The 27,184-nt window shown below is 46.8% G+C and overlaps 1 protein-coding gene and 1 long non-coding RNA gene across 18 annotated transcripts in view, besides 2 other annotated features; one reads left to right on the top strand and one right to left on the bottom strand.

Moving 5' to 3' along the window:
• KIRREL3 (kirre like nephrin family adhesion molecule 3) overlaps positions 1-27,184 on the top strand; it is a 580,037-nt gene that overhangs the window by 251,882 nt on the left and 300,971 nt on the right. The window lies entirely within an intron of this gene.
• Positions 18,610-18,659: an enhancer, noted in NCBI's record as "active region_5711". NCBI's record gives its function as "activates an Ori minimal core promoter by ATAC-STARR-seq in GM12878 lymphoblastoid cells {active_cell/tissue: GM12878}" and the evidence as "EXISTENCE:reporter gene assay evidence [ECO:0000049][PMID:35858748]".
• Positions 19,403-19,938: an enhancer, noted in NCBI's record as "NANOG hESC enhancer chr11:126601470-126602005 (GRCh37/hg19 assembly coordinates)". NCBI's record gives its function as "activates a minimal SCP1, AML or CMV promoter by ChIP-STARR-seq in naive H9 embryonic stem cells {active_cell/tissue: H9 hESC(naive)}" and the evidence as "EXISTENCE:reporter gene assay evidence [ECO:0000049][PMID:30033119]".
• On the bottom strand, positions 20,897-23,343 carry LOC105369561 (uncharacterized). Its single transcript, XR_007062941.1, has 3 exons — positions 23,270-23,343; positions 21,863-21,995; positions 20,897-20,969 (listed from the first exon to the last, which is right to left on the bottom strand). It is a non-coding gene; the product is annotated as an uncharacterized LOC105369561 (long non-coding RNA).

Genomic DNA, 27,184 nt, shown 5'->3' with positions numbered 1-27,184 from the left:
CATCTCTCCCTGTGACGAATGCTAAAAGAATCAAGTGTATTGGGCTAGCAGAAGAGAAACTTGAGCAGTGTTTTTAAAACAGCTTTCAAGTTCATAACAGAGATATTGAAACCTTCCCAGCTGTTCTCCTTAGCCAGCAAGAATGGAACAGAAGGAAAAGTGGTTCGCTCAAAGCAATAGACATTCTGCTTAGGCATAAGAACTTTCTGGCTGTGAAGAATTGTGAGACAAGGAGATGGTGCATCCAGGAAGGTTGTCCTTGAAGACCTTTCAGAATAAGACAGCTTGCTTCCTTTTAGACCTAGAGGAGTGGATTGAATGAGCTGAGGGGGAAGTTCATCCAGCCTGAGTCCTGTGGCGCTACAGGATGCATTCCGACAGTGTGTCTATACTGTTGACATGAAGTTTCATCAATTCTCTGGTAAATTCCACAGCATTGACATAAGATAAAATACATTTGGTCCAAATCATTTAAATTGATTTTCCTGTCCAAATCACATGTGTACACATCCATATGGATAAATTAGACAAGATCATATTAAGATAATAAACTTAATTGGATTTATAAAAATCTATAAATGTGTTTAGCACCTTAGGGAGAGGTGCCCTGCAAATCAAAGCCATCCCTAAAGTGATAACTATCATGTGTTTTATTAGTACTCATGAAAATGGAAAGAATATATGAGCATCAGTCACTGAGGACCTGAGTTCCAACGTTTGCACTACCATTTGTTAGCTTGGACAATCCATGTGATATAGCTAGGTCTCAGCTTCCTTACCTATAAAATAATAAACATTATACCTACTTCCTGGTGTCAGGGAACCAGAAGCTGGGGAACCACTAAATTAGATGGCATTTGTAAATCACACAGCAGAATGATTGGCAACACAGGTTGATTCTTTCCCACTAAACAGTTCTGTAGAAGCTTTACCACTAGCCACAGCTCAGGCTAGTGACCCTGGCCCAGCCCAGTTGCCCTAAGAAAAGCCTAGCTGCTACATTCACTGATAAGTTCATACTACATTCTTAAGTCTCTCAGCCAAACCTCTCCAGTCCCTTCTGTTTCTAAAGAGGGTAAGAGTGTTCCTCTCTGGCTAACCTCACTTGAAGCTTCACTGTGGGCTTCGAGCACCCACACGTAGGAGCATCAAACATATTTACAACCAGAGTGCCATAGTTGAGAACATCCTCATGCCACCTTCAAGGAACAGAAATGTGTTCAATGGGGTGGCTACGGAGAAGGAAGTACCATAGTAGAAGTCCCGAACTGAGAAATAAAGGCCCCAAGTTCTGGCCCCAGGTTTGACAAAGTGGCTTTGGGCAGGTGGCTTCACTGCTCTGTGACTCAGTAGCAATGATTGTGTATTCTGTGCCTACTATGTGCAAGGCACTTATTTATTCCATCCATTATTTTCAATATCCACAAAAAGCCCCCATTTAAGTAGCACAGCCTGCATTTTACAGATGAGGAAACTAAACTGAAGTTCAGTAAAGTCAGGAAACTTCATCCAGAACCACTCATTTCTAGTAAACAGATGAGCAGACCTGAAAACCCAGAATGAGTGGCATCAAAACGCGCACTGGTTTCTCTACACAGCCCTGATTCGGTCTCCACACGTAGAAAATGAGGTTAGACAACAATCTCTAGGGTCTTCCGTGGCCTTGAGAGTTGATAAATCTCATTCTGGACTTCCTAGCTTCAGCAGGCAGCCTGAACATGTTGAGGGTCCGGTTATGAAAATGATCACAGCAGTCACTTTCACCTTCCTCACCTCCACCCCTTAATATTTGTCTCCTTTCCCCTGTAAAGACTGGGTGGACTTTTGTATTTTCTTCTCGGAAGATGAATGGCTGACTTTTTTTTTTTAAGAGGGACTTTTTGCTGGGGTGGGGAGAACGAATTGAAACAGAAGACTTTGGTAAAGAAGTCACTTGAAAAATGATCCTATTTCCTTTAGAGATGCTCTTGTAATATAATTATGAGCCATCTGTTAACCTCCTCTCCCCTTGCACGATCTTTCTGGTTCTCAGCAGATGATGTCCCCAGGAGCAAACCGGCGAGGATGGGGAGATGAGGCTCTTTTGATTGAGCACCGAGGAATGGGGTAACTTGAACCACGCAAGTCGGAGCAATTTAGAAAAGGTGTAGAAAATCCAAGCAAGACATAAATACCAACAAATGTTCTAGGGATTAGCAGATAAGTCGTATCGGGAGAAAGCGAGAGAGTCAAATTTATATAGTTGAGAAAGGATCCGGCTCAGCGGGAACACAATCACGGTCTATAAATACCTCCACGAAAACAGTCGAAATGAACGGAGGGAATTCATCACTGACTCCAAAGCAGGGAGGACAAGGTGCCATAGCCGTCAACTTGGAGCGGGAGATGGAAAGCACAATAGCAAAAAGTTCATGGCTCAGAGGAGTGACTGGGCAGAGGCCCAGACTCTCCAGGGAAGGTGGTCGCAACCCCCTGCCACCTGGAGACTGCAGGGAGAGGAGATGAAAAGCTGATAGGAACAGGAGTCTAAGAAGGCCCAGGAAGGCTGGATGGAGGTCACATAAGAGGACCTAAGCGGCTCTCCCACCTACGAGGCAATGAACTGAGAAGGAATTACTTGGTCTTGCAAATTGCTTGGTAAATACACTGAGTAAATCAAAGAAGCTCGTTTCAACAACACAGTAGCTAGGCACTGGATAGACTGAAGCCTACAGATTACAAAAGGATCCCATGCACAGTTTCGGTGGGCAGAGAGGCTTTTATCACAGCGATGGATGGCACACGTGGCCTGGTTTAATCCTCATTTGTTACCACGAAACGCAGCTTCCCTTGCCAGACCAAGGCCGAATCAGCCTTGGCCTTCCTGCCCCTGCCCCCTTCCCGCAGAGGCCTCTTCTTTCCTGCCACAGCACACGATTCCCTCCCTTCCTGCCCCGCCCTTGCCCTTCAACAATATTAATGGTCCCTGCCTAAGCACTTGAACGGAGCCAGGCCTCGCCTCCACAGAGCCTGTTTAGAGATGGCCTGAAACGCCTGCTGGGAATAATTCTCGCCGTAGGCAAGCTCAAGAATTATTGATGAAATAACCTTTTGGGGCCTGAGTCTGGGGTTTTGCAGATGCAATGGCAAGATTATTGTTTAAGTGGGGACTTGATCAGGCGGTGACCTAGAAAACATTTAGTTCTTTTATTGCTGTCACAGTTTCCTGGGGCTTACACTGTCTTCTGCCGCTGAAGCCTGGGCAAGGGAGTAAAAGGAAGTGGCTGGTGAAACAGTGAGATTGTCTGCACACCCAGAAGGCCAGAAAGCATCCAGGCAGCTTCTTGCCCCCAAATGATGGGCCCTGGGCCACCTCTGAAGTCACTGGAACGGGAATAACATAAAAACAATTCAGCTTTTCAGTGACTGGCCATTTTCACCTTAAAAGGTGAACCTCCTCAGATTCAAGGAGCAGATAAATCAGTCACTAGGGAGGCAATTATTAATGGAAGAGCCCTTTACAGGGGCCACGATGCTAGGCACGGGTCAGATGGAGACTGAGAAAGAGTAGAGCAGAAAGTCACCTGGGAAGGCCGCATCTAGACCCTGTGGGATAGGGAAAGACCGCAACGCCTGTCTGGAGGGGAGTCTTCCAGTTGACCTGAGGTTGCTAAGGGGCAAGGGCCACTGAGAATCACTTCTACAAAGGACAGCTCTGCCAAGCAGAGGGAGGGGAACAGGGGTTCTCACATGACTCTCTGCACACAGTCGTTCCCTCACCCCATTCCTTCATTCACGGCGCTGAGTGCTTACTCTGTGACAGGCACTTTGCTAGGTTTGAGATTCCAAAATAAATAAAACCGTTTCTAGTCTCAAGGAACTCAAGGGAGATGCGCTCTCAGTTATACCAGGTTCCTAATACCACGAAAGAGGGATATACAGTGCCTTTTCTGTGAGCACAGCCACGACCACAGAGAGCACTGCTTTGCAGAGAGGGAACATGTGAGCAGGCCTTTGATGGATGAATAGGAGTTTTCTAATTAAGGAAAGACAGTCCCAGGTAGTGGCGATGAGGTTGCATGACTTAATCAGAGAATGGTAAATGGTCTGGGATAACTGGAGTGTAGAGGACATAATGGGGAAGAGCATGGGACGACGGTACTAGCTTTCAGTATGGAGGACTTACGCTACGCTAGATAATGAGCAAAGAGCTCTATCCCCAGTATTTTATTTAATCCTCATACAACAGCCTTTGTAAGTATACACTGATTGTGTTATTTACTGAGGGTTACAACTTGTCAGGGCAGAGTAGAGGTATGAGGCCTGCTGGCCTGGGACTAAGCCAAGAGCCAAGCTCTATGCTATGAGGCCAACTTGCTCATTTGATGGGGAAGGAAAACAAGTTAGCTACACAGCTGAGGCGATTCCAGTCATTTTAGGAAAGGTCTTCAATGCCTTGTGAAGATGTTCAGAACCACTGGAGGTTTTTAAGCCAAGATGGCAGAAGCATGTCTATGCTTCAGAATATACCCTGGAAGCAGCCAGCACTAATTAGAACAGAGCACACTAAAAGCAGAGAGACACTGTCTATCCTCAGTGTGGTCCACAAACCACTCCTCTCAGGGCCACGTGAGGCTGTTCCTCCTGAACCAGAATCTCAAGGGGAGGGACTGCAGGATGTGAGTGTGTGAGGAGCTCCGCAGGTTCTTGCTAAGCACAATGGGGTTTGGGACCAAAGAGTTGGAAAGGGGTTGCAATACTTGTAATACTCCAGGTTAGAGATAACGAGGGCCTGAACTTGAGCAGACCTCGTGGTCATGTAGAAAGAGGCAGGTCAGAACTTTCATAGAGATACACCTGATCATAGAGATCAGGGTGTGGTTAGGTGAGGGAGGGAGAGGGGGGACCAGAATCAAGCTCAGGTTTCCAGATTGGGTGACTGGGTGGCTGGCAATGTCAATGTAAGGAGGTTGAGGTTTCATTTTGAAAATTGTGAGTCTGATGTATCCGCAGCATATGCTAGTAGAGATGTCTGGCAAGTCATCTGAAACTCAAGTGTGGAGCTCAGAAGACAGGGGTGGTCATGGCCACAGAAATGAATTAGGGAGTCTCAATGTATTGCCACCTCCTGCTGAAAGCTGATCCTGAAGTCCCAAGCGGAATTACCCCCACTCTCCTCTGCACTTCCATGACACCTTGCACAATACATATCACACTTTGTTGTATTTGTTTTACATAGTTTCTCCTTTAATAAACCACACGCTGATTAAAGGCAAGGGCCCATCATTCATGTTCATATCCCCAAATGCCCAGGACGGTGTCTGGCACATAGAAATTTCTTTTCAAAATTGCCGGATAGGTGAAAGAGAATAAGGAATGTAGACAAAATTAAGAAAATCTCTATGGACCCTCAGGGACCACCAACATTTAAAGGGTGGGTAGAAGTCCACAAAGAAACCTAACAAAAAGCAGATGGAGTGGCAGGAGAGAAAGCAAAAGCAAACAGTGACAAGGAGGAAAGAGAGACACAAACCCTTCAGGAATGGCAGGGTGGCCAGCAGCTTCAGTTGTTACAGAGGCCAAGCAGGCTCCAGCTAGTCATAGTAACCACTAGTGTGCCCCTTTCAGGAGTAAGGCAGGGAGGGACTTGTACATTGATAAACGCCCAACACCAAGCCTGGCCTCTGGAACTTTCAGATGTCCTTTTCCTTGGGAATCCATGCAGTCTACATCTTGGAGGTGAATTGTGAAGTTATGGAAACCCACATTTCAAGCAATGAATGATCAAAAGAATCCAGAGAGACACTGCAGGCTAAGCTCTCACCTACAGCACCAAGGGGGTGAAGCTCAGTGGTTAGACCACCTGATACTACCTGAATACCTTTTTTCTTATCTCCCCATCTCCTGTTTTGGCTTTCATGCCAGTATCTTCAAATTTACAGGGGAAATAAAGAGCCACTGGAAGTAGCCGTACCAAGTATTCACAGTAATGCAACCAGTTATCTGAGGGTTTTGTTTGGGTTTTGTTTTTTTTTTTTGTTTTTCTGTTTGTTTGTTTGTTTGTTTGTTTGTTTTCCATCTTGATCTTGCTTCACTAATCTTTCTTAGCTCAGGTGACCACATTGTAAAATTCCATTTTGTCTTTTTTTTTCAGATGTTGAAATGTGAACCAAATGCTGTTTTTAATGAGCTAAGCAATTGTTCAGACTTCTTCCCCTCCCTCCACCGTTTTGAATTGCTATAGCATGTACTACAAAGCTTCATTTGAAAGCCTGCAATTTCAGAGTGGTTTTCTTTAGGCAAAAGAGGCTATCCTGTATCACAGAGATATCACCACAGCTCAAATTCAGAGCCTTTCGGGGGAGAAACCAGTATGTGTGGCCGGGAGACTAGGGATGGATTTGGAAGGAGGTCCCATGAGATCCTCTCAAGGAAAGGGCCACAGGGAGGTGATACCTGGCGTGGAAGGAGGTGCCCAGTGGTGACCAGGGTCTCCCTCTTGAAACTGGACCTCTAACCAGAATATGCAACTACCCAGTGGACACTTCCAGCAAGACAGTTCGCATCACCTCCAACCTAATGTGTCTGAAAGTGAGTCAACTTCTTTCCTCAGTAAACCAGTTCTCAGCTACTTTTCCCACCTTTTTTTTTTTTTTTAGCACTTACTATGTGGCAGACACAATTTATTGTGTCAGGGACAGAGCAGGCAACAGGGCAAATACAGTACCTGCCTCATGAAGCCTATATTCTAGCAGGGAAGGCAGCATTCAAAACATTGACATTGGCATGAGCATTATAAAGAATAGTAATACGAGTACTGTTCATCGGGTCCTTAGTTTCCACGAGACACTATTGCCAGCACCATGGGGCACACGCCAGGGAGCCCTGGCTTAGCCTGGAAAGGCTCTGAGTGCTTTTCCTCAGCCCCATTTAGTGGCTCTGTCTGTTCTGTATTGTTCCAGATACACACTTTGAAAATTGAGGTCTCTGCTGCTTCTTCCATACCTGCTTCCTGATCAGTCTCCAGAACTTGGTGCTGCTTCCATCAAGATACATTTCGCACCTGCGCCACCTCTCCATTTCCTTGTCCCCGTCTAGTCCAGCAGCCTGTTCTGCATGTCTGGGACAGTATGGCAGTCCTGACCTCCCTGCCTCCAGCTTCCCTTTCATCCTCTCTGGTCAGCACACCTCCTGCGGGTGAACCTCCCAGAAAAGGCTGCTCCCCTGCTCAACATCTCAGTCATTGATTCAACAAATGCTTATCAAAGGCTTTCCACCCATAAAAAAAAAAAAAGTTGTGTGTTTCAGAAGACAAACCAATGTCCATTTTGTCCCTTGACTGGCACCCAAGGCCCTTCAGCCATTGGAAGCCTTCCATGAATGGCCTGTCCACCACTTTCCCAAGCACAGCTCCACCTTCCTGGGCCCTCTGCCCCTTGGCTAGTCCCAACTTTCTGGAACATTTTCTGCTCCTCTTCTTTTCTGCTTATCAAAATTCTGCCCATTGCTAAGGCCCAAATCTAATGTCACCTCTTCCATGAGGCCATCCTGATGAAGCCAAGCAGAAATATAGTAGTCTCCCCATCACTAAATTTCTTCTGAGAAACGTATACACTGTACATGCATGCATGCTGTGGGTCTCACACACACTCATATACATACCACACACACTCCTACAAGCTCCTAAAACCCCAGGAATCTGTGTGTATTTGCCATTGGTGAGCCTTGGCTATGTTCCAGGAACTGTGCTGAGCAACTCAGCCAGATTATCTCATGTAATAATCAACCATCCTATGAAGTAGGCACCGTAATCATATCCCCATATTAGAGATGAGATCAAAGAAGTTAAGTAAATTGCATAAATAAGGTCACACAGCTAGTAAGTAGAAAAGTAAAGATTCAAATCCAATTCTGACTAAATCTCACATATGTAATATTACACTGCCATTCGTCCAACAAGAATTCTTCTTTAAAGATTTAAATACCCCATTTGCCTTATATAGTGCTTTGCATTCAATATGCATTCACAATTATATTCCCAGTACCTAACACAGAGCCCAGAACATCTCCTAGACATGCAGTAAATACCTCTGATAGCATGGATGAAATTATTGTTGAGTATCATGTCAAACCTCCTAAATCAGAATAGCTGAAATTGGGGCCTCAGAGTCTCTAGGTTAACAAACATTCCAGGTGATTATTATAGCCAGCCAGCACCTGTAGATAGACTAACATGAAGCTAGTCCAGGCTCACCGTTCTATAAATAGGGAAACTGAGGCCCATGGCAGTAAATGACTTGCCCCTGTTTAGCAGCACCCACCTCCCATCCCCAAGTCATCTCTTTGTGCTGTTTTTTTTGTTTGTTTGTTTGTTTGTTTGCCAACTACTCTAATTTCAACCTAGCTGTAAGATAAGATACAATACTAACATTGGGCAGAAAACAAGCCCATATCTCCATCTGCCCTGTCTAAGGGAATCTTAAATTGGTTTTCCTGTCTCTTCTCTCTGAGGAGGTCCTCACTGATGGCCTCATCTCAGATAAGCTGAGCAGGGGACAGCCCCTGGGCAGCTGACCTAGAAACTCCAAACCACAGCAAACCAAGTTTTTGACCTGAAAGTGCCTGGTTATTGGGTTTTGCTTAATGCAGATCCATCATCTTCAGAATCTTTTTCTTGCCTCTTCAGAGAGGAGCCACGTTGCCCAGCAACGAATGTGCCAGTGATGTGGCAAAGTTGTTGATCAATAACGTTCTAGCTGCCTAACCTCACCCTGAAGCTGTGTTTGCCTGCCTGGTTCTAAAGTCCACTGTCTGCTGATTTCTTAGCTGCTAGGTGATATATATTTGAGAGAAAATAAAATTCGGAGTTAGACATACCTAGGCTGATGTCCCAGTTCAACCATGTACTGGCTATGTGACCTTGACAAGTCACTTGCCCTCTCTGAACCTTGGTTTCCTCATGCCCATGGTGAGGGGAGCTTTATGGGAAAATCTCTTGTTCTTTCCAGTTCTGAGATCCATGTTGTGTGTCTTATGACCTGGGGTGTGAGATGCTTCTGTGAGCCACATTCAGCCTGACGAAGAGATTGACTTCTGCTTCATGTTGGCCATTCCATATTATCAGTCCAGCTCACTGAGGCATGAAAATAAATTAGAACCACAAGCAGGTTAGGATACACTATCCTAAGAATACCACACTTCTCCCAACCCCCAGTTTTGCTTTGATAATAAACTTCCCTTGCATACAGACAGACAGCAAGACTCTCTGGGAAATCCTCAAGAAATGCCATCCATATGTTTTTGAGTCATTTACACTGAACCCATCATAATATTGTTCTTTGAAGATCCATTTACATTTGTTCTAAAGGCTTATTTTAAAGCTTATGCAAATGAACAAGATTAAGGTTGCATTCTGGAAGCTGAAACTGGGAAATGGGAAGTTCAATTTAAAGCTTGGTGTAAATAGAGTTTCACATGTGTTCTAAATAGTTCTCCCTTCTTAGCACAAGCGTCCTCCATTCAACCTCCTGGTACCCCCAGACCAACATTCTCTGCTAGTGAAATGCTGAGTGGTGGAGTTAAGGTTAATGAAAAGAGCAATGGAATGGTAGTCTCACTCTCCCCCTCTCACCTAGCCGTATGGCATTGGATGAGCCATTGAACTTTCCTAGGCTTCAGTTTCTTCATTTGGGAGCCATCCAAGACCTCAGTGGTTCCCAAATGTTAGCTGCATTAGAATTGCCTGAGGAGAAGATTCTGGACTTCTAACCCTGACCTACTGAACTACAATCTCCATGAGCAAAGCCCCACATTCTGAATTTTTCACATCCTCTCCACTTAGGGATCTCTCCTTTCTATGCACAAGAGTCTGATTTGTTGCCGAATATCCCTTTTCAACTTATATTCCCCTATGTGCTTTTTAAACTCTCCGATGTACTAAAAGTTCCCATTCATCCTATGGCCCTTGTTGTGGACTCTCAGGTGTTTTCTTTGAAGATCAAGACGCATTTGTTGAACTCTGGTTAGATGAAAGAAATCATTCCTTGTCACCCTCAACACATGGGCATGGGATATCTGAAGGTGGAGTTCAGTGTCTGGCTCCGTATGAATTACAGAGACCTGCAAGAGTCATTGTGCTGGCCCCACGGGAGCCAACAGACTATGAACAAACACAGAAATAGTAAGTATTAAGTAAGGGAATTGAAAGACCATAAAGACTGTATCATTAAAATTATATGCATATTAATATCCATATCACAGGTAGGTGATGGGTGAGCAGCATTATGGGCATCTGGATTAAAACTTGGATCTGTGCTCCAAGGGAGTGGGAAAAGTGGAAATGGAGAACAGAAGGTGAAGCACAAACAAAGAAATTAACAAAGTGACAAGAGCCCTCTGCATAGGAAAGGAGAGTCTGTCTTTGACCTGAATTGCCTCTTCCTGTTGTTAAGAAGAGAGAGTTGGCCTGTGTTATGTAATGCCAGGAGATGGTTTTCCATTCCGGGTCTGCAGGAATGAGCTCCTTGTGGTGGAACCTTTTCCCTGTTCTGCCACTTTCCTATTCTCACTCAGCCCCAAAGTAAGCACTATCTGATGATATTTCCAAGAACCTTGTCACTCACTCTACCATGGGGGACTCTCATGGAACAATGGATATCTTCTTTCTCAGTGAGTGGCTTTTTCCAAGAAGCACGACCTCATTTTAATGTAAATCTAACAAGGATTACCCTCTCTGCTCCCAACAAGGAAAGGATATATTTTAGCCCAGCAATGCAAAAATACAAATTTATCTTTCAGGCCATTTTTGTGCTCCCTGTCCCTAGCCCCATCCCCTGTGCCCCATCAAGACACCCTACTAGAGCCCCTCTACTAGCACCTCCCCCTTGGAGCCACAGTCAAGCTAAGGGATTATTATCTTATTGGCCTTCCCTCTCAAGACAAAAGGGGATGCTGGGCTAGAGCGATACTTTGCCCATAGGAATACATCACAAATATAAGGAACATGTCTCCTGGGTAGGAGAGGGATCTGTGAGTGGGGGGCTTTTGTGTCACACTCAAGTCAGAGGACCTAGTGACACCAAAGGCTGGTCTGGTATATCCAGAAAGACTTTTCTGCAGACAATTCCAGACCACTACTGCAGCACCAAACACAGAATGAATACCATCTCCACTGAGTTTAGCAATGCAGCACTTTAATTTCTTTCTATCCTGTTTATAAAATCATATTCTATGCTGTTGCTTCAATTCAGCCCCATCTGCATTTTCTTCCATTAATCACCGTAGAACTCCCCCACTATAGCCTTTATTACCTGCTCAAAATGAATGTGGAGAGAAAACATAATTAGATGCCACCTCTAAAAAATAATATCTTGAAAATAGAGCAATGACTTAAATAAAAGAAGGAGGGAAGAAAAAAACACAATTTGAACTAATGGGCCAAATTACCTCAGGTTAAACTGCATTTTAAATCAGCTGTTTCTTTCTTTCTTCCTTTCTTTCTCTGCCCCCTCCCTCCATACACCCTACCCTCCAGTGAGTCATGACAAATTCAGAGTGCAGCTGTATGGATGATTAGATTTCCTCATCTCTGCTGAAACAATGAAATATTTCTATAATACTAAACCCGTCAAACTGATCAAAGTGCAGTGTCAAAATTCTAAGTGCTCCTTCTTGCCCAATCCCCTCAGCTCTGGCAAAATGGAGCACATTTTATTTGCTGGCCCAAAACTCCCTGAGGTTTTTAAACTCTGATACATGCTGCCTGATTTGCAGTGTTGGCTACGGTTCTCCTTTAGGTGTTTTCCATCATCTGCACCAGTGACCAGAGCATCCCTTGTGGGCTGGTTTGCCTGCATAGTACCTCCACACATACCTTAACTGTGGTTTCCTTCTCCTCACTCCTGCCCAAATTACAGATGTTGTTAACATGCTGTCATACAAAGCCAGGTGACATACCTTCAGGAAGAGTATGAACAGGCCACTGTCAGCACCAGCTGCCTGGATCTCATCATTCCTTAAGACCCAGGTAGGGCACATGACGCTACCTGCACCTGGCACACTGACTGACAGAGCAAATACTACTCAAGAGCTGTTTTGCTTTACCCAGATCCCTTCATGTCTCAGGGCCTCAGTGTCTCCATCTGTAAAGTGAAAGTAATTTAGTAATGTCTACCCAGCCTCCTACACAAGGGTGTTATGCAGAGGAGGATGAAGCAATTTGCAGAGAAGCCCCATAACCATGCCAAAAGGCAGTCGAATTAATACTATAAGTATCACCTAATGCTCTGTGGGCAAGTCATATGCAGAAGGCTAGAAATTCACATCAGTGGAATTCACATCTCCAACAATAGCACGGAACGGGTGGAAGGGTTTGGCTTTGGAGCCAGAACAGTCTGGATTGGAGTTTCCATCCTGCTAATTTCTAGCTGTGTGGCCTTGAGCAAGTTACTTGGTCTCTCTGAAAGCCAGTTTCTTCATTTGTACCGTTTGTATCATATATACCCGCCTTTCAAGATTGTTGTAGTGTTATGAGAATTAGATAATATATATCTGAGCCACCTGGAACACAGTAGGCAGTCAAAAAAATCATAGTTTGATCACCGAAGATGCTTTGTTTAGGACCCTGTGTGGAAGAATAAGAGACTCCTCTGCCTGTGAGGATTGTCTGGTGTGACAGCACATCAGGCCTCCGAGGTGGGTGGAAGCCCATTTCTTCTCGTCTTCATAAACTTTTCTTTCAGGTAGCTGCCTGCTAATGCAGCAGCAAATCTCTCTGGGTGCTTTTAGCCTTCTTGTCGTGAGCCCTGCTAGGGCTGAGAAAAACACAAAAGGACATTTCTGGGAAGGGAAAAGGAGAGAAGGAGCCAAACATGGGGTGGCTATGGTAACCTCATTTCTCAGCAGATGAGAAACCAGCTCCAGATTTACAGATTAAGTGCTATTAATTACCACCCAGCAAATATTGAACCACAGTGTTGCACTCCTAGGGGGAAAAAAAATAGGAAACTCAGTCTGAATACTAACGGACTCCATTAGTGCTCTGTGCAAACCCCGCATCACATACAGTCCTGCCTTTGGCACTGAGGACTCAAGTGAAGTCCACACAGAGCATATCAGGTGAGGCCAGCCTGGGACCTTCTGTGAAACCCACTTCCAGCTGCAGCCCGTGACTGGGAATCTCTGAGTGAGGAAGCAAGAGAGCGCTCACCTGCTCAAAGGAAAAGGACCAGATAAGGCAAGACAGGGGTGGAGGGGGCAACAGGGGCTGTTGGAGGCTACTCCCCTATGATTAATTCAAAATTAATTAATTAATTTCATTCCCCTATGAATGAAAATGCGTCGGATTTTGTTCCTGGGCTTAGATGTTGGTGGCACATGCTTGGCAGCTGGCATATCGGAAGGTCTAGGTATACTCGTGTATTTACATTCTCCTGCCCTGGCCAACATTCTGCAAACAGCAGCCCTCACTAAGGAGAATGATGGTTACCAGAAGCTGGGAAGGGTAGTGGGAAGGGAGAGATAAAGTGGGATGGTTAATGAGGAAGGACAAAAATACAGTTAAATAGAAGAATAAGATCTAATAGTCAGTAGTACCACAGGGTGACTGTAGTTAACAGTATTTTAGTGTATATTTTTAAATAACTAAAAGAGTAGAATTGGAATGTTTCTAACACAAAGAAATAATAAATGCTTGAGTTGATGGATACCAGTTATCCCGATTTGACCATTACATGTTGTATACTTGTGTCAAAACATCACAGGTACCCCATAAATATATACAACTATTAGGTGCCTATAATAATTAAACATTTAGAATTAAGAAACCGAAAAAAGCCTCCTCTAGCTCACTGTGTCTAAAAATGCCCCCCTCTACTGGAGAATTCCGAGCTGGGGAAGAGGCAGGCATGTACTGTGTGTCTCGAGAGTCTCTCACTTTATCCAGCACGGGTATTACTGCCATCGTCGTACCAGCAGGGAAACAAACTGAGACTCCGAGCTGCTGCAGATTTGCCCAGATCCTTCCCCAGAATCCATGGGGCGGTGTGACTCAGGAGACCATCGTCTGTCCCCTCCACTCCTTCCCCAGGCCCCCAGGACTGTGGAGACTGCCCGGGCAGTGATGCAGGCATGACAGAGGAGGGGGGACAGTTCACTCCCTCCTCCGCCCTCTCCCTGCCCACTGTGCCTTGTGCCGTCTCTGTGCTTTGGAGCTGGGATCCACCAGCACCCTCTCTGCCCTGAAGGTGCATCCCTGCTCCTCCCTGCCCCCTTCCTGAGCCCCAGGCCCCATCCCTGCTCCTCCCCACTCCCTTCCTGAGGCCAGGCCCCAGCCCAGTGTGCTGACAGTCACAGTTGTCTGACAAGCCGGCCTCCAATCAGGGGACACATTCATTTTCCCCTTGGCAAGCACATCCCCACTCAGCACCCTCTCAGGCAGATTCCACTGAATCTACATTAGAAAATTATCAACCGGAGCAAATTGGGAAACTTACTATTTGAGAAAACTTTAGCTGTTTTTGCTTTTCCCTGAAATCTAAATAAGGGCACTGCCCCTGAGAATAAAGTTTTCTGATGTAACCAATTGCTGGCTCCCTGGAAAACTAAGTAGGACCTTTCCACACCATGCTTGTGACAGCCAGTCTGGGGCACTCCCTTTGAGCTCTTTTTCCTGGGCAGCACAGGGTGGGGGAGGACTGTGGGGGATGTATGGTGATTCCCAGCAGCCTTTGTCCATGGACATTAGCATGACCTTTAACCTTACCCACACCCGGGTTTTCTTATCTGTAAAATCAGGAGATTGGTCTAGACCAGGGTTTCTCAACCTCAGCACGAATGACGTTTTGGGTAGGATAATCCTTGTCATGGGGGCTGGCCTGTGCATTGCAGAGTGGTTAGCAGCACCCTGGGCTCCTCACTGGAGGCCAGGAGCAGGTACCCCTACTCCCCCACTTAGTTGTAACAACCGAAAATATCTTCAGATGTTCTCAAATGTCCCCTGGGGACAAAATCGCCCCCAGGTGAGAACCACCGGCCCAGATGATCTCTGAGGGTCCTTCCAGCTCTCCAGTTCTCTGTTTAGAAAGTGATATGAACACCAAAAACAGCTTGGGTTGAAATGTCACGGGGACCTCTCATCAAATCCTGGCTCTGGCATCTACGTTTTAGCTGTGTATGACTTGTCAAATGATTTCACTTCTCTGAGCCTCGGTTTGCTTATCTGCAAAATGGAGATGATAGTGCACATTTCACAAGAGTATTAAATGAGGAAATGTGTGTAAAACTTCTAGCGTATAGTGTATGGCCCCATAAATGGTGCTATTATTGCTGTGACTACAATTGAAAGTAAACCAGACCATCTGTTCTCTCTAGACAATCCCTCTTGTGACCAAATCCACAGAAATGCAAGGTAGCCAGCAGCAGTAGCTATGGAAAGAAAGAAACTAATAAATGTATTCAACATGTACTCTCTGCTAGGCACTACGCTAGGCAGTTTCATAAAAACTCTCAAGCAAAGTCAGGACTAATTGAGGATTCATAAATGCAGTAATAACTGGAGAATAAACCCAGACCTCTGCTGAATTGCCAATGCCTGGAAGGTGGGGGCCTGGAAATACTGGGATGTTTATTTTGTACCTTCAGTATCAGGAAGGATCCCCCTTATTTTTGCCTTTAAATTAAGATTATCCATTCATCTGTTACCCATGATAAATGCCGTATCTGAGAAAGGAAGCAATGAGAAAGTAATTTTTAGCTGGATTTGTTCACTCAAAATGAGTTTATGTCTCCTCTTTGGTTTGGTTCTGCCTAAAGGGCAATTGACTTCAGTTCCTACAGAAAGAGACAAGGAAATAATATCTGTCCCTAAACCAGAGTTACAGGTTTTGATATCCACTTCTTTTCCATTTTCTGGGGCCTGACAGCTGCCTGTTACCTCCAAAGCCACCTTCTCCAATAAGCCCCAATTCCCCGACGCACATTATTGAGATCATATCCCTGGTCTGGGCTGCCCCATGAGAGGTTTTATTCTTCAGTGGAAGTATTGATCTGTCGCCAGTTACAGGCCTAGTTTCTATATTAAGTGTCAACAAAGAGTAGGTGGAGGAGGTGGGAAATGGGGCCGGTGGAAGCTCTCTTTCTCTGTCTCCCCAGTTGGTCATGCAATGGTCTCTGTTGTTCTAGGATCCCAGAGATGCTTACCTGGGCTTATTCTCCTTGTCTTTGCTATTATTCCTTCCCGTACTCGTCAAACGTGGATTCACGTTCAGACCCAGCTAATGTTACTACCGACTGCCAGTTTCTGTCATGGGTTTTATCTCATCTAGCCCTCACAGAAGCACATTTTACAACTTTTACAGAGACATAAAAGGTGTCATCAAAGGCCCCAACTAGCAATTAGTAGAACTGAGTTTGCATGTAACCTCCTAGCCCCGAGTTCCAGTGCATGTTCCTCCATCAGGCAGCAGCCAACAACAGTCCCATAGGAAAGCCCTTGCTTTCTGAGGATGGGTAAACGCCCCGTTATGAGCCTCCCTGCCAAACTGCTATGCTTGCTGCAGGCAGTGCACATTGACCCTGCCCTTGGTCGGAGCCAGGCACAGCTGGACCAGAAGACAGCACCGTTCCAACCACAAACCCCATCCTGCCACAATTAACACTGTCCTCCCCAACCACCCCTAACTCCCATTCATTCTTCAAGAATCGTTCAGAAAGTACCCCTCCAACGAAAACTTCTCTGACCTGCTCATCAGTCTCCACCACTGTGATTCCTTAGCACTTTGACACACTCTGTTACTGACCATATCACACAGTCTCCTTTATCACTTTCTGTAATTCCTAGTACATAGAATACTAAATTTCTTTTTTTTTTTCTTTTGAGACAGAGTTTCACTCTTGTTGCCCAGGCTGGAGTGCAATGACATCTCGGCTCACTGCAACCTCCGCTTCCCAGGTTCAAGTGATTCTCTTGTCTCAGCCTCCCAAGTAGCTGGGATTACAGGCACGCGCTGCCATGCCCAGCTGATTTTGTATTTTTCGTAGAGACAGGGTTTCTCCATGTTGGTCAGGCTGGTCTCGAACTCCTGACCTCAGGTGATCCACCCACCTCAGCCACGCAAAGTGCTGGGATTACATGCATGAGCCACCGCGCCTGGCCAAATATTTCTTAAGTAAACAAATGGATCACTGAAAAAACAGAGGGGGAAATCTTGAAGCAGATCATGAACACAGTATTTAAAGTATAGCACTTATTTATAAATGACCCCAAGAACCTGCCATAGATCCCAAAAGTAGAGCTTTTTTTCTGATGAAAGCATGGGACTTGGGAGAGAACAGCCGTGAAATGCCTATTTTCTTTACATCCACTAATTGATTTCCATTAGTGCAGTGCTTCCCAAACTCCAGTGTTCAAACAAACCACCTAGGGATCTTGTTCTAATGCAGCTTCTGCCTCAGTAGTTCTGGAGTGGGGCTCCCAGGTGATCCTCATGCTGACAGCCCACACCTTGAGAGGCAGACGCTGACCTCTTCTGGGCTGCTTCCCACCTCACCTGAAGTTGCTGGCCTGTCACTCTGTGCCTGCAGCAGGGCCAGAACCCCCTGGCATCCCTGTGCCATCTGGGTAAAGCAGCTGTCTGCTGTTTTATTTATTTCCTCCCATTATCACTGGGGGAAGAGAATCCATAGGCATGACACATCTTGTTTACAGCAAGTCTCAGAAAAGTTAAAACTACAAATTTTTTTCTAAAAAAGCAGCAACCCGTTCAAATCACACATATCAGGGAAAAAAAGGGCTAAGGGAAATTCATAAAATATTAAATGACACTGTGTCAAGACACAGAAAGGGGCAGGATGGTAATTAAAGTAAACAGCACATCAAAACCCTGGCTAAAACTGTTATTTAAATTGAAAGTAAATGTAGGAACTGATCATGTAGCCTTGTATAAATGTGTTTCAAGAGCCTTTTAAGAATATTAATGATTATGGAAGTATAATGGCATAATGGCTGAATATCAATGATCGCTTTTATAGCAAGTGACAGCTCAGAGAAAGAAGGAAAACAATCCAGATCCTTCCTAAGATGCAAACTGGTTTCATCTCCCCAGCGCATTGCATCCTTTCAAGGGACAGAGAGAGGGCTGGGGAAGAGAATTAAGGTGTCTCAGGTGTCTTGAGCTTACGATGCACCTCTCTTGTGGGTCTGAGGGATGAGAAGCCATTCGGAGAGGGGTCTTGACCATGACTGAGGTTCTCATCTTTCTCCTCTGAGACATCTGCTGAGCTCCAGCTGTGTGCATAGCCCCCAGGCCTCGTTACCATCTCTAAAAATACTTACCCACCTTGCCTTAAAGGCTCTGAAAAGTTCAGCCGAAAGCCAAAAGTGAAACTGTAAAGTTTCATAACTGACTTTTCAACAAAGGGACTAGAAATTACACTTTTGAATTGGAGGGTTGCACTCTTACTTCAGAGGTGAAATGCTCAAAATATCTCAAGCTGCCTTCAGAACCCCAGGACTCATTTTTTCCTTATTCACAATGGGAACCAATCTTCCTCCTTCCACATTGCATTTCACCAAAGTCTTTTGCTGTATCTGTGAATACAATGGGAGGGCAAGCCCTTTGAGTCCCAAACAAGACACTTAAGCATTATTCTTTAACTTCAGTCCAGCCTCTTGCTATCTCCTTTGCTTGGTTTTCTGGTAAGATAAGGGGTTCCCCCTGGCCTTTTCCACTCTGCAGTGCTCTGGGGTTAGATCCCAAATTCTCCTTGGAGTCTCCTTGGGCATAAGCTTCCTCTCAGCATTACGAGGTTACCTTCCTCAAAGTGTCTTTTCTCCATGTTTTCTCAGATGGCCACCAACCCAGAGATGGTGTCCTGGTTCAGAGCCAGGCTGCCCAAGTCAACTCCAGAGAGCAGGAATTCAAAGGAAACAGTCACTCTCTCACTGTCTCTCTGCAGCTGACTACACTTTCCCGAGACAAGCAGGTATATTGGATTGGCTGTTGTTATGAGCTGTTTAGTCCTAACTTGCTTAGTAGAAAACGTCATCTAGTCCAGTTGACCAGAGAGCGCTAGGGTTTTGATCACAAGTCCAGCTAACAATGAAGCATTGCTTTGCTTTCCTTTCTTTGTGTGCTTACTATATTTTCTCAGGGGTCCTCATGAGAAGGGGTGGCTATTTCAAGGACAGAATCTGGCCATTCCTGCATCCTCGGGCTCAATACAATAATTCATCAAATGATGTATACATTTGTATTATAAACTGCGGAATCATTATGAAATCACTGTATTGTTAATAATAGTTTCCTATTAATTACTCTATCGCTCTAGCCATTACTTATAAACCTCCTTCCTAAATCTCTGGCTCAGATTGCCATTCCTGTAGGAATCCTTAGTCTCCAAATGGAGCAGATTGTAAAGACCCCAGGCAGGGCAGCAAGGAGGTGAGATTAATGAGACACCCCTCCCCCATTCCTGGCACTCGCTGGAAACCAGCAGAGAAGCCAGTGAGGTCCCACCCTTCCTGCAGTGATTTCCTTCACCCTCTGGCAGTGACTTCTCTCTCTCTTTGCTGCTGGGGGCACAGTCCTCAGCTGCTTCCTCAAAGAGCTGCCTGCATCAAAGTAGCTACTATTTCCAGCGTCTTTCTTTTACAATCCTTTTTGTTCCTTGCTTTTGATCCAGCATATGCTGGGGGGCCAAGCTTTTGTCTTTCAGCTTGTGAATAAATGGAAGCACTTACGGAGGCAGCAGCCACCACATGTGATTAGTTTCTTGTTGTTCTCTAACTGGGAGCCAGATGGATCAAGTAGCTCAGGACCTAAAACTGACCTACTTAGAGCCATCAGGTCTGATGAGGTGAGCATAGCTTGGGAGTCCAAAGACCTGAATGCCAGTCCTAGTCCTTCCAGCAACGAGGTGTGCAAATTTTGGCAAAGCTTTCTTCCTGTGTGCATTCACTCACCAGACATGGCGCTAGGCATTGGGTCTGTAAAGATAAATAAAATCACATCTGTGACCTCAAGAAGACTGCAGAAAGAGAAATGTGAAAGGTAGACATGAGAATACGTACAAGCTGTGGTAGAAGCATAGCCAAGAGAAAGCTTTGTCCAGGAAATGGTATTCGGGCTGAGTCTTGAAGGACTAAGTAAGCTCTGACCCAATGCAAACAGTGGACACAGCGGGATGGACCCTGGGATAGGGTCATTTGAGACCTAGGCAGTGGCCCAGAGGTATGGAAGAACATGATTTACTCAGAGAACGGCAGATTATCTAGTACTGCTGGGGCATGGACTAACAGGAGAAATGGAAGGTGGGTCTGGAGAGTTGGGCAGGGCCAGATCATAGGGAGCTTTGTAAACTATGCTGAGAAGTTAGGAAATGGAGACATGCAGACAGATTCATTTGTAAGCTAAGCATTCTCGCAGGAGGCAGCAAAGAGAGTGGCTTGAAGGGGAACCTGATTGTCAGAGACACCAGTTAGAAAAGTATTGCATGTTGGCTGGGCGCGGTGGCTCACGCCTGTAATCCCAGCACTTTGGGAGGCCGAGACGGGTGGATCACGAGGTCAGGAGATGGAGACCATCCTGCCTAACACAGTGAAACCCCATCTCTACTAAAAATATAAAAAAATTAGCCAGGCGTGGTGGCAGGTGCCTGTAGTCCCAGCTACTCGGGAGGCTGAGGCAGGAGAATGGCGTGAACCTGGGAGGCGGAGGTTGCAGTGAGCCGAGATGGCACCACTGCACTCCAGCCTGGGTGACAGAGCAAGACTCAATCTCAAAAACAAAAAAAAAGAAAAAGAAAAGTATTGCATGTTGTAAGCCAGGTTTTCTTTACCTGGGGACTACCGCCATTTTGGTTCTTGGTTGCAGGGGCCGCCTGGTGCATTGTATCGTGTTCAGCTCCATCCCTGGCCTCTACCCACTTGATGCTAGTAGCAACCACTTCGTTGTGACCATCAGAAATTGTCCCTGGACGTTGCCAAATGTCCCCTAGGTGGGGAAGACAAAAATCACCCATGGTGGAGAACCACCAGTCTAAGCAAACTTATGTAGTATGGAATAAGCTCAGAGCTGCGAGAATGGGCACAGGTTGAAGATACCTGTAGGAGTCAGGTTGAGAGGAAGGCATGATTGACCAGACGTATAGGGTGAGGAGAGGGTGGAGGCCAGGATTGTTCCCTGATTTCTGGTGGACAATTAGGGGATGTTGATGGTGCAGAGATGATGAGAAGAGGGAGGAGAAGGTGAGTAACTCATTTGGACGTGTCACACTCAAGGGGCCTGTGGGCCCCCATGTGGATGGGGCTAGTCGGCAGTGGGTTCTGCGGGGCTGAGAGCCAGGGCCAAGGGCTAAGTGGAGACGTGATGTAAATGTCTCTGGGAGTGATGAATCTACTTTGAGGAGGGGAATTCTGAATGAGAAGACGGCTGGGGATAGAACCTAGGGACATCAACATTTAAGTGGCTGGGGACAGGAATGAGAGTCAGGACGGGGACTGAGAGGGAATGGAAACTCCGGAGGAGGGTGTCCCAGAAATAAGACAACAAAAGAGTTTCCTGAAGAAGGAAGCCGTCACAGAGCCAAATGTCACAGAAATGTCAAGGAAGGGAAGGGCAGAAAACTGTCTGCCAGATACCTCAAAGGACTGGTTTAGGAGCAGAGGAGCCTATGAACTAGAAGGATTTGGAAACAGTTAAAAGCAGCAAACATGGTGTGCTCTTAGTGATTATGATCAGGGGCTCCCTCCATTGTGCTTCTGGACACAGAAACCTCCCAAGCTCATAAAATAGCAGGGGACCCTGAGCTGTGAGCTTTTCACCTGTCCAGTGGAGTGCCCGGGGCCCCATGAGTATCTACGGAGGGTCCCCAGGTTCACACCCACCTGTGAGCTCCTGGCCAGCACTGCTTCCGTGCTCCAGCAGCAAAATGCCAGGGAGCTGCTCCTTTCTTGCCTTCCAGCCTCATTGTTTACAGGGACAGTACCCTGGCATATTGCAGGTAATCACTCCCTGAGGCTGCAAAGGAGAAGCACCTATTGACCCTTTGACTCCCCCTGTGACTCTGGAGGACTCTGGGCAATCTAGAAGAATGGCGCCAATTTCAATTTCCTGTCTCTCCTGCAATATGTCCCTAAAATGAGCCTTGTGACACCTTTTGTTCCTCACCAGGCTCCACTTCCTGTTTCTTCTTCTATATCTTTCCACATTTTATCCATGCACTACCTCTTTTCCCTAAAAGAATTAGATTTGTTGTTAAGCCAGCGTGCTTGTTTCTTAGAAGTCTGCTTCCCAAGAAAGGCTGAGCCACAGTCTACTGGGTCTGTCCTTCTTCATGACCTCTTAGACTCACTCTTCATCTTTTTGCTCCAACCACACATTCCACAGGACTCAGTCTGGACTAAGGAGGCAGCCATTCTGCTAGAGATGAGGGAAGATGGCCCAGTTGTGTTTTCTGGCCTAGAGGGTACTGCCCCTCCCCAGGGCCCACTCCAAGCCTGCAACAGGCATGCCTGCCCCAAAAGCCTCCTCCTCAAGGTCTCCTCAGCAACAGGACAGCCCACTGCCCAGCCATTGCCCTCCTCCCTCTGCCCCGAAAGCTTTGGAGCTAGCGTCTGCTTCCTGATTACACATGGCACCTTGAGAATGGGGCAGCGTCTGTGGGGTGCAGGGAATTCAGGGAGGCAAGCTCAGGCCTTCCTCACTTGAATTAATGCAGGAGAGAAGAGAGGCCATGGAGCCAACACAGAAGGGACCTGGGGGCCCTCCCAGGGGACGAAGTTACTTACTGAACTGAATCCTCCCGCTTAAAGCTTAACAGGCTTCACTCCACTGACAAGTACTCAGGGCTTCTCCTGCCTCCTTTCCCCTCCCTATACAAAGAGTCAAGGTGGTCCAGGTTCCTGTGGGCCCTACACTGGCCCCACTTCAGCCTGGAAGCTAATTCCTGTGTGCAGCAGGTGGCAAGCACTCTAACCAACATCATCTCACTCAGGTGATCAGACACCCTGAGCTCCGCAGGGGCCAGGCAGGGTGCTTGGCCCTGGGAATAAAGCAGTGAGTAAGACGCACCCCTTCCTGCTCTGGAAGCCTACACTCCTGTGGGAAAGCACACCCATGGTCAACATGCTTTAACACGGTGGGAGGTGGGACACACACTCTCATGCACAGTAGAGGCATGTGCAGCATGCCACGGGAGAACACTGAGCCCCAGGACACCCCACCAGGTAGGTGATATTTCTCCCTGGTCTGCAGATGGGAAAGCTGAGGCTTGGGGGCTTCAAGTGACTCACCCAAGACTACAGAGCTATTTAGAGGTCCTCTGACCCTGCCCCTCCTGGTGTCCCAATTATTTCATGGGGCCAGCCACCACAGCTGTGACAGCCACACCTTGTCCATCTGTGACCTTGCAGCCTCTTTACCCTGCTGCACCCAGCCCCTCTGTGACTCTGATATACCAGTCACATAATGGATTGCCTTTGTCCCAGTGTCATGCCAGGTGCATCAGGAGGCTCTGGCTTCTCTCAGAGCTGCTGGGTGTGGGGCTGCGGGAGAAATGCTCACCCCCGAGACAGCCCTACTTCAAGCCAATTCCTTCCCTCCGGGTCTCCTCATCATTGGACTCTGGGGACCCAGGGCTTCTGATCCGCATCCCACTGCCTGCAGATGTCTCTCCCAGGTCTGCAAGGGATTCTCACTGAGGCACAGTTGTGTCCACGTGCTCATTCCCCCACTGAAAGTCCTTCGTTTAGTTCTTTTGTCCTCACAGAGACAGCGTTTCCGTAGCAATTGTGAAAATGGATGGAGCTAAGTCAAATCTGATTTTCTTTGGGAAGAAAATCGAATTCTCCACTTTGTGAGGCAGGCAGAGAGATTAGAAGAAGGAGGACCACAAAAATGCAGCTCACCCAGGGTGGGAGGGCCAGACCCCCCCGAGGGAGCTGGGAGGAGAGCCATGTAGCAGGGAAATGCCTGCTGGGCAGGGTGCAGGGTACAGCTGCTGCAGACAGCTGAGCGCCTCCCACCTTCAGGCCTCCAGACTTACCATGGACACCAAGTCCTCCAAGTTGAGATTCAGCCTAAGCCAGGGGACCACTGTGAATTGTTTATGCATTTAAGTTTAAATCTGTAAGCTCTGTAGCCTTCCTTCTCAGGTTGAGGCCACCAAAAAGACATTTCTGGTGGGGAACACTTTCCGAGGGGTCTGGGAGGTGAGGAAGGAGAGGTAGCTGAGCTTCTGAGAAGCAGCCTGTGATGGCGAAGCCAGCCTGCTCTGTGCAGGGAGAGTGGCCAGCCGGCCTCCAAGGGGAATAGCCACAGAAGCTGCCTCTTCTGGAGCCACACCCAAGTGCACAGGAGCCCTTGCTGTTTCTCAGTCATTTCATGAACATGGATGGAGTGGTTTTTATGGACCAGGCTCCATGCTAGGCACTGGGAATTCAAAGCTAAGTCTCTGCCTTTCAGAAGCACTCCATCTGCCAGGGAAGATGATGTATCTAGATGAGTGAAGGTAGGCTACGCGGAAATCTGTGCTGGAGGCGTGTCCCAGAGGGTAAGGCGGCTCAGAGAAAGAAGCAGCTGACCTCCCTGTGTGAGTGAGTGAGAGGTAGAACCGTTCAAGAGCCAGGACATCACAGCCAGGTCTTAGAGGATGAATAGGAGTTTTGCAGGAAGAAAGTGGAAAAACAATAGCACAAGGAATGGCAAAAGCAAAGATGCAGGGCACAAGAACGCATGGCATGCTCAACACATTGGCATGTGTAGGCCAATACAGAGTTTTGCTAGGAGAAGGGAAATGATAGGAGTGGGAAAAAACAGCTGGAAAGGTAGACTGGATCCTCTCATAAAGAGGCATCTTGTGGCTGGGCGCAGTGGCTCACATGGCTCACACCTGTTATCCTAGCACTTTGGGAGGCCGAGGTGGGCAGATCACTTGAGGTCAGGAGTTTGAAACCAGCCTGGCCAACATGGCGAAACCCCAACTCTACTAAAAATACAAAATTTAGCCAGGCGTGGCGGTGCATGCCTGTAATCTCAGCTACTCAGGAAGCTGAGGCAGGAGAATCGCTTGAACCCAGGAGGAGGAGGTTGCAGTGAGCCAAGGTCATGCCACCGCCCTCCAGCCTGGGCAACAGAGGGAGACTCCATCTAAAAAGAAAAAAAGGAGGCATCTTGTGTAGTTCAGACTTTTTCATAAAGCCAACAGGATAGCCCCAGAGAAGTCCAGGGAAATTTCTGAGGAAAAATTCTAGAAAATATGTCAGAGATCTTTCATTAATTTGTAAGGGATTTGAGACTTAATAGTTCCCCTAGAATCACTGAATGTCAGAGCTTTAAGAAACAAGAAAGTCCATATTTGTGGTTGTCAAGCTGGGTTCAGTGGAGCCTTAGGGTTCCACAGAAGGGCCTTAGAGACCCACTTCGGGACACAGGGGGTTAGAATGGAGGGAGGGCACTCAGAAGGGCGTTCTCCAGGGCCCTGTCCACTGCAGTCCACATGTTTCCATGCTTATCTTTATAGATTTGCTTTGATTCATTCAAGAAGTATTTATGGGGCATCTCCTCTATTTGGGTTATTATAATTTGATTGGAAAACTTACATCACCAGAGAAACTGGGGGTGAAAGTTACTGACACAGACCAACTGCCTGATTTACAGATAAGGAAACTGAGACTCAGCGAGGGGAAGCAACTTGACAAAGTCCCTCAGTGAGTTGGTGGCCAATCCTGATGCCTCCCCCCATGCTCTCTGTAGTCCCTGGCCCTGCCTTTGTGCAGACTGGACCCAGGCCACAGAGCTCCACCAGCCCCGCACATCCACCCCAGCAGCAGCCTTGCAGCGAGGGCAGAGCGGGCTCAGGGTCCAGCCTGCAGCAGTGCACCCTGACAGGCCTCCTCCAGACAAGGACGGCCTCTACCACCATCATCCAAGGAAGGCAGGAAAGCCACTGAGCACACAAACACACTCAGAAGAAAACGGGGACAGCCAGCTTGGGGATGAGCGGGGGCAAACCCATGGGCATGATAATGTTTTTGTTTATGGACAGGCAACAATGAGATGTATGGAGATGTCAAGAAAGAAATGCCCATGCGGGTGTTAGCACCATTTCCAAACCATGACTGCTTCCTTTGTGCCCAGAGTCAGCAAGTCAGGCAACTAATGCACAGGGCACTGAAATGAACCCTTTTTTTTGCTTTGATCGCTCCTGATAGCGCACTCTGCCAGAGATATCATATCTTTGATCTCTTGGCACTGATGCTAAGTCTCTGGAGCTCACTAGCATCTCCTTGAGATTAATTCTTCATGGCATACGAGGCACCACGCTGTCCTCTCCCATACATCACACTGGGTCACGTGACTTTCTGGCCTGCTGCCTCAGTGGTTACCCACAGGCTTAAGAAATAACCCCTAATGTCCTGCCTTCTCCTGGCCACCTCTCACCTAATACCCACATTGGTTAAAACCCCATTAAGCAGGCACCAGAAGACAGGCTTTTGATTCCTGACTCGGCCACTTTCCACTGAAACCCCTCACCTCTCTGAACCTCTGTCTCTTCATCTGAAGAACAGAAATAAGAATATCTACTCCTGCACCTAGCACACTACCTGACACAAAGTCAAGGTACAATAAATACTCATTAAGTGAATGACTAACTGACAAGTTGATCTATGATAAAGAGGAATGCAGGAAAGTTGTTTTTATGGTTATTCAAAATCTATTAGTAAGAACCCTTGGCCCATAGGCAGGTCTAATAATCCTGACTCTTATCTAATACTAAGAACCCTTGGCCCATAAGCAGGTCTCAGTCTTGCTTCCCAATCTCAGCATTCAAAAGATGCCTCATTGGAATTCAAACGGGGAGAGGGAAGTTTCAAGAAGGAAGGCAGCTAAAACTATACCTGAATTCAATCTCGACATGACATATCTACAGAGCAGCTGAAGAAACTTCTTCATCCCTTGGGGACAGAAACGTGTTGCTTCAGCTGGAAATTCATGGAGCCCACCCATCTCAAGGGCAGTCCCTCCCAGATCCTGCCTGGATGTTTGGAGAGGGCTGATAGGGAGTGACATGGCTCCGAACCTCCAGGGTGTCCATCTGCTGGCTCACTCACTCTGCATCTTGTCCATAAGAGATACAAGCTATGACAATAAGTCTGCATGTGCATGTGTGTGGGTGTGCATGGATCTGCGTGTGTACTAGTTGGGGC

The sequence above is a fragment of the Homo sapiens genome, chromosome 11 (genome assembly GCF_000001405.40).
Source record: "Homo sapiens chromosome 11, GRCh38.p14 Primary Assembly".
NCBI lineage: Eukaryota > Metazoa > Chordata > Mammalia > Primates > Hominidae > Homo > Homo sapiens.
The sequence above is the reverse complement of the archived record's forward strand: the minus strand, read 5'-3'. Positions and strand labels throughout refer to the sequence as shown.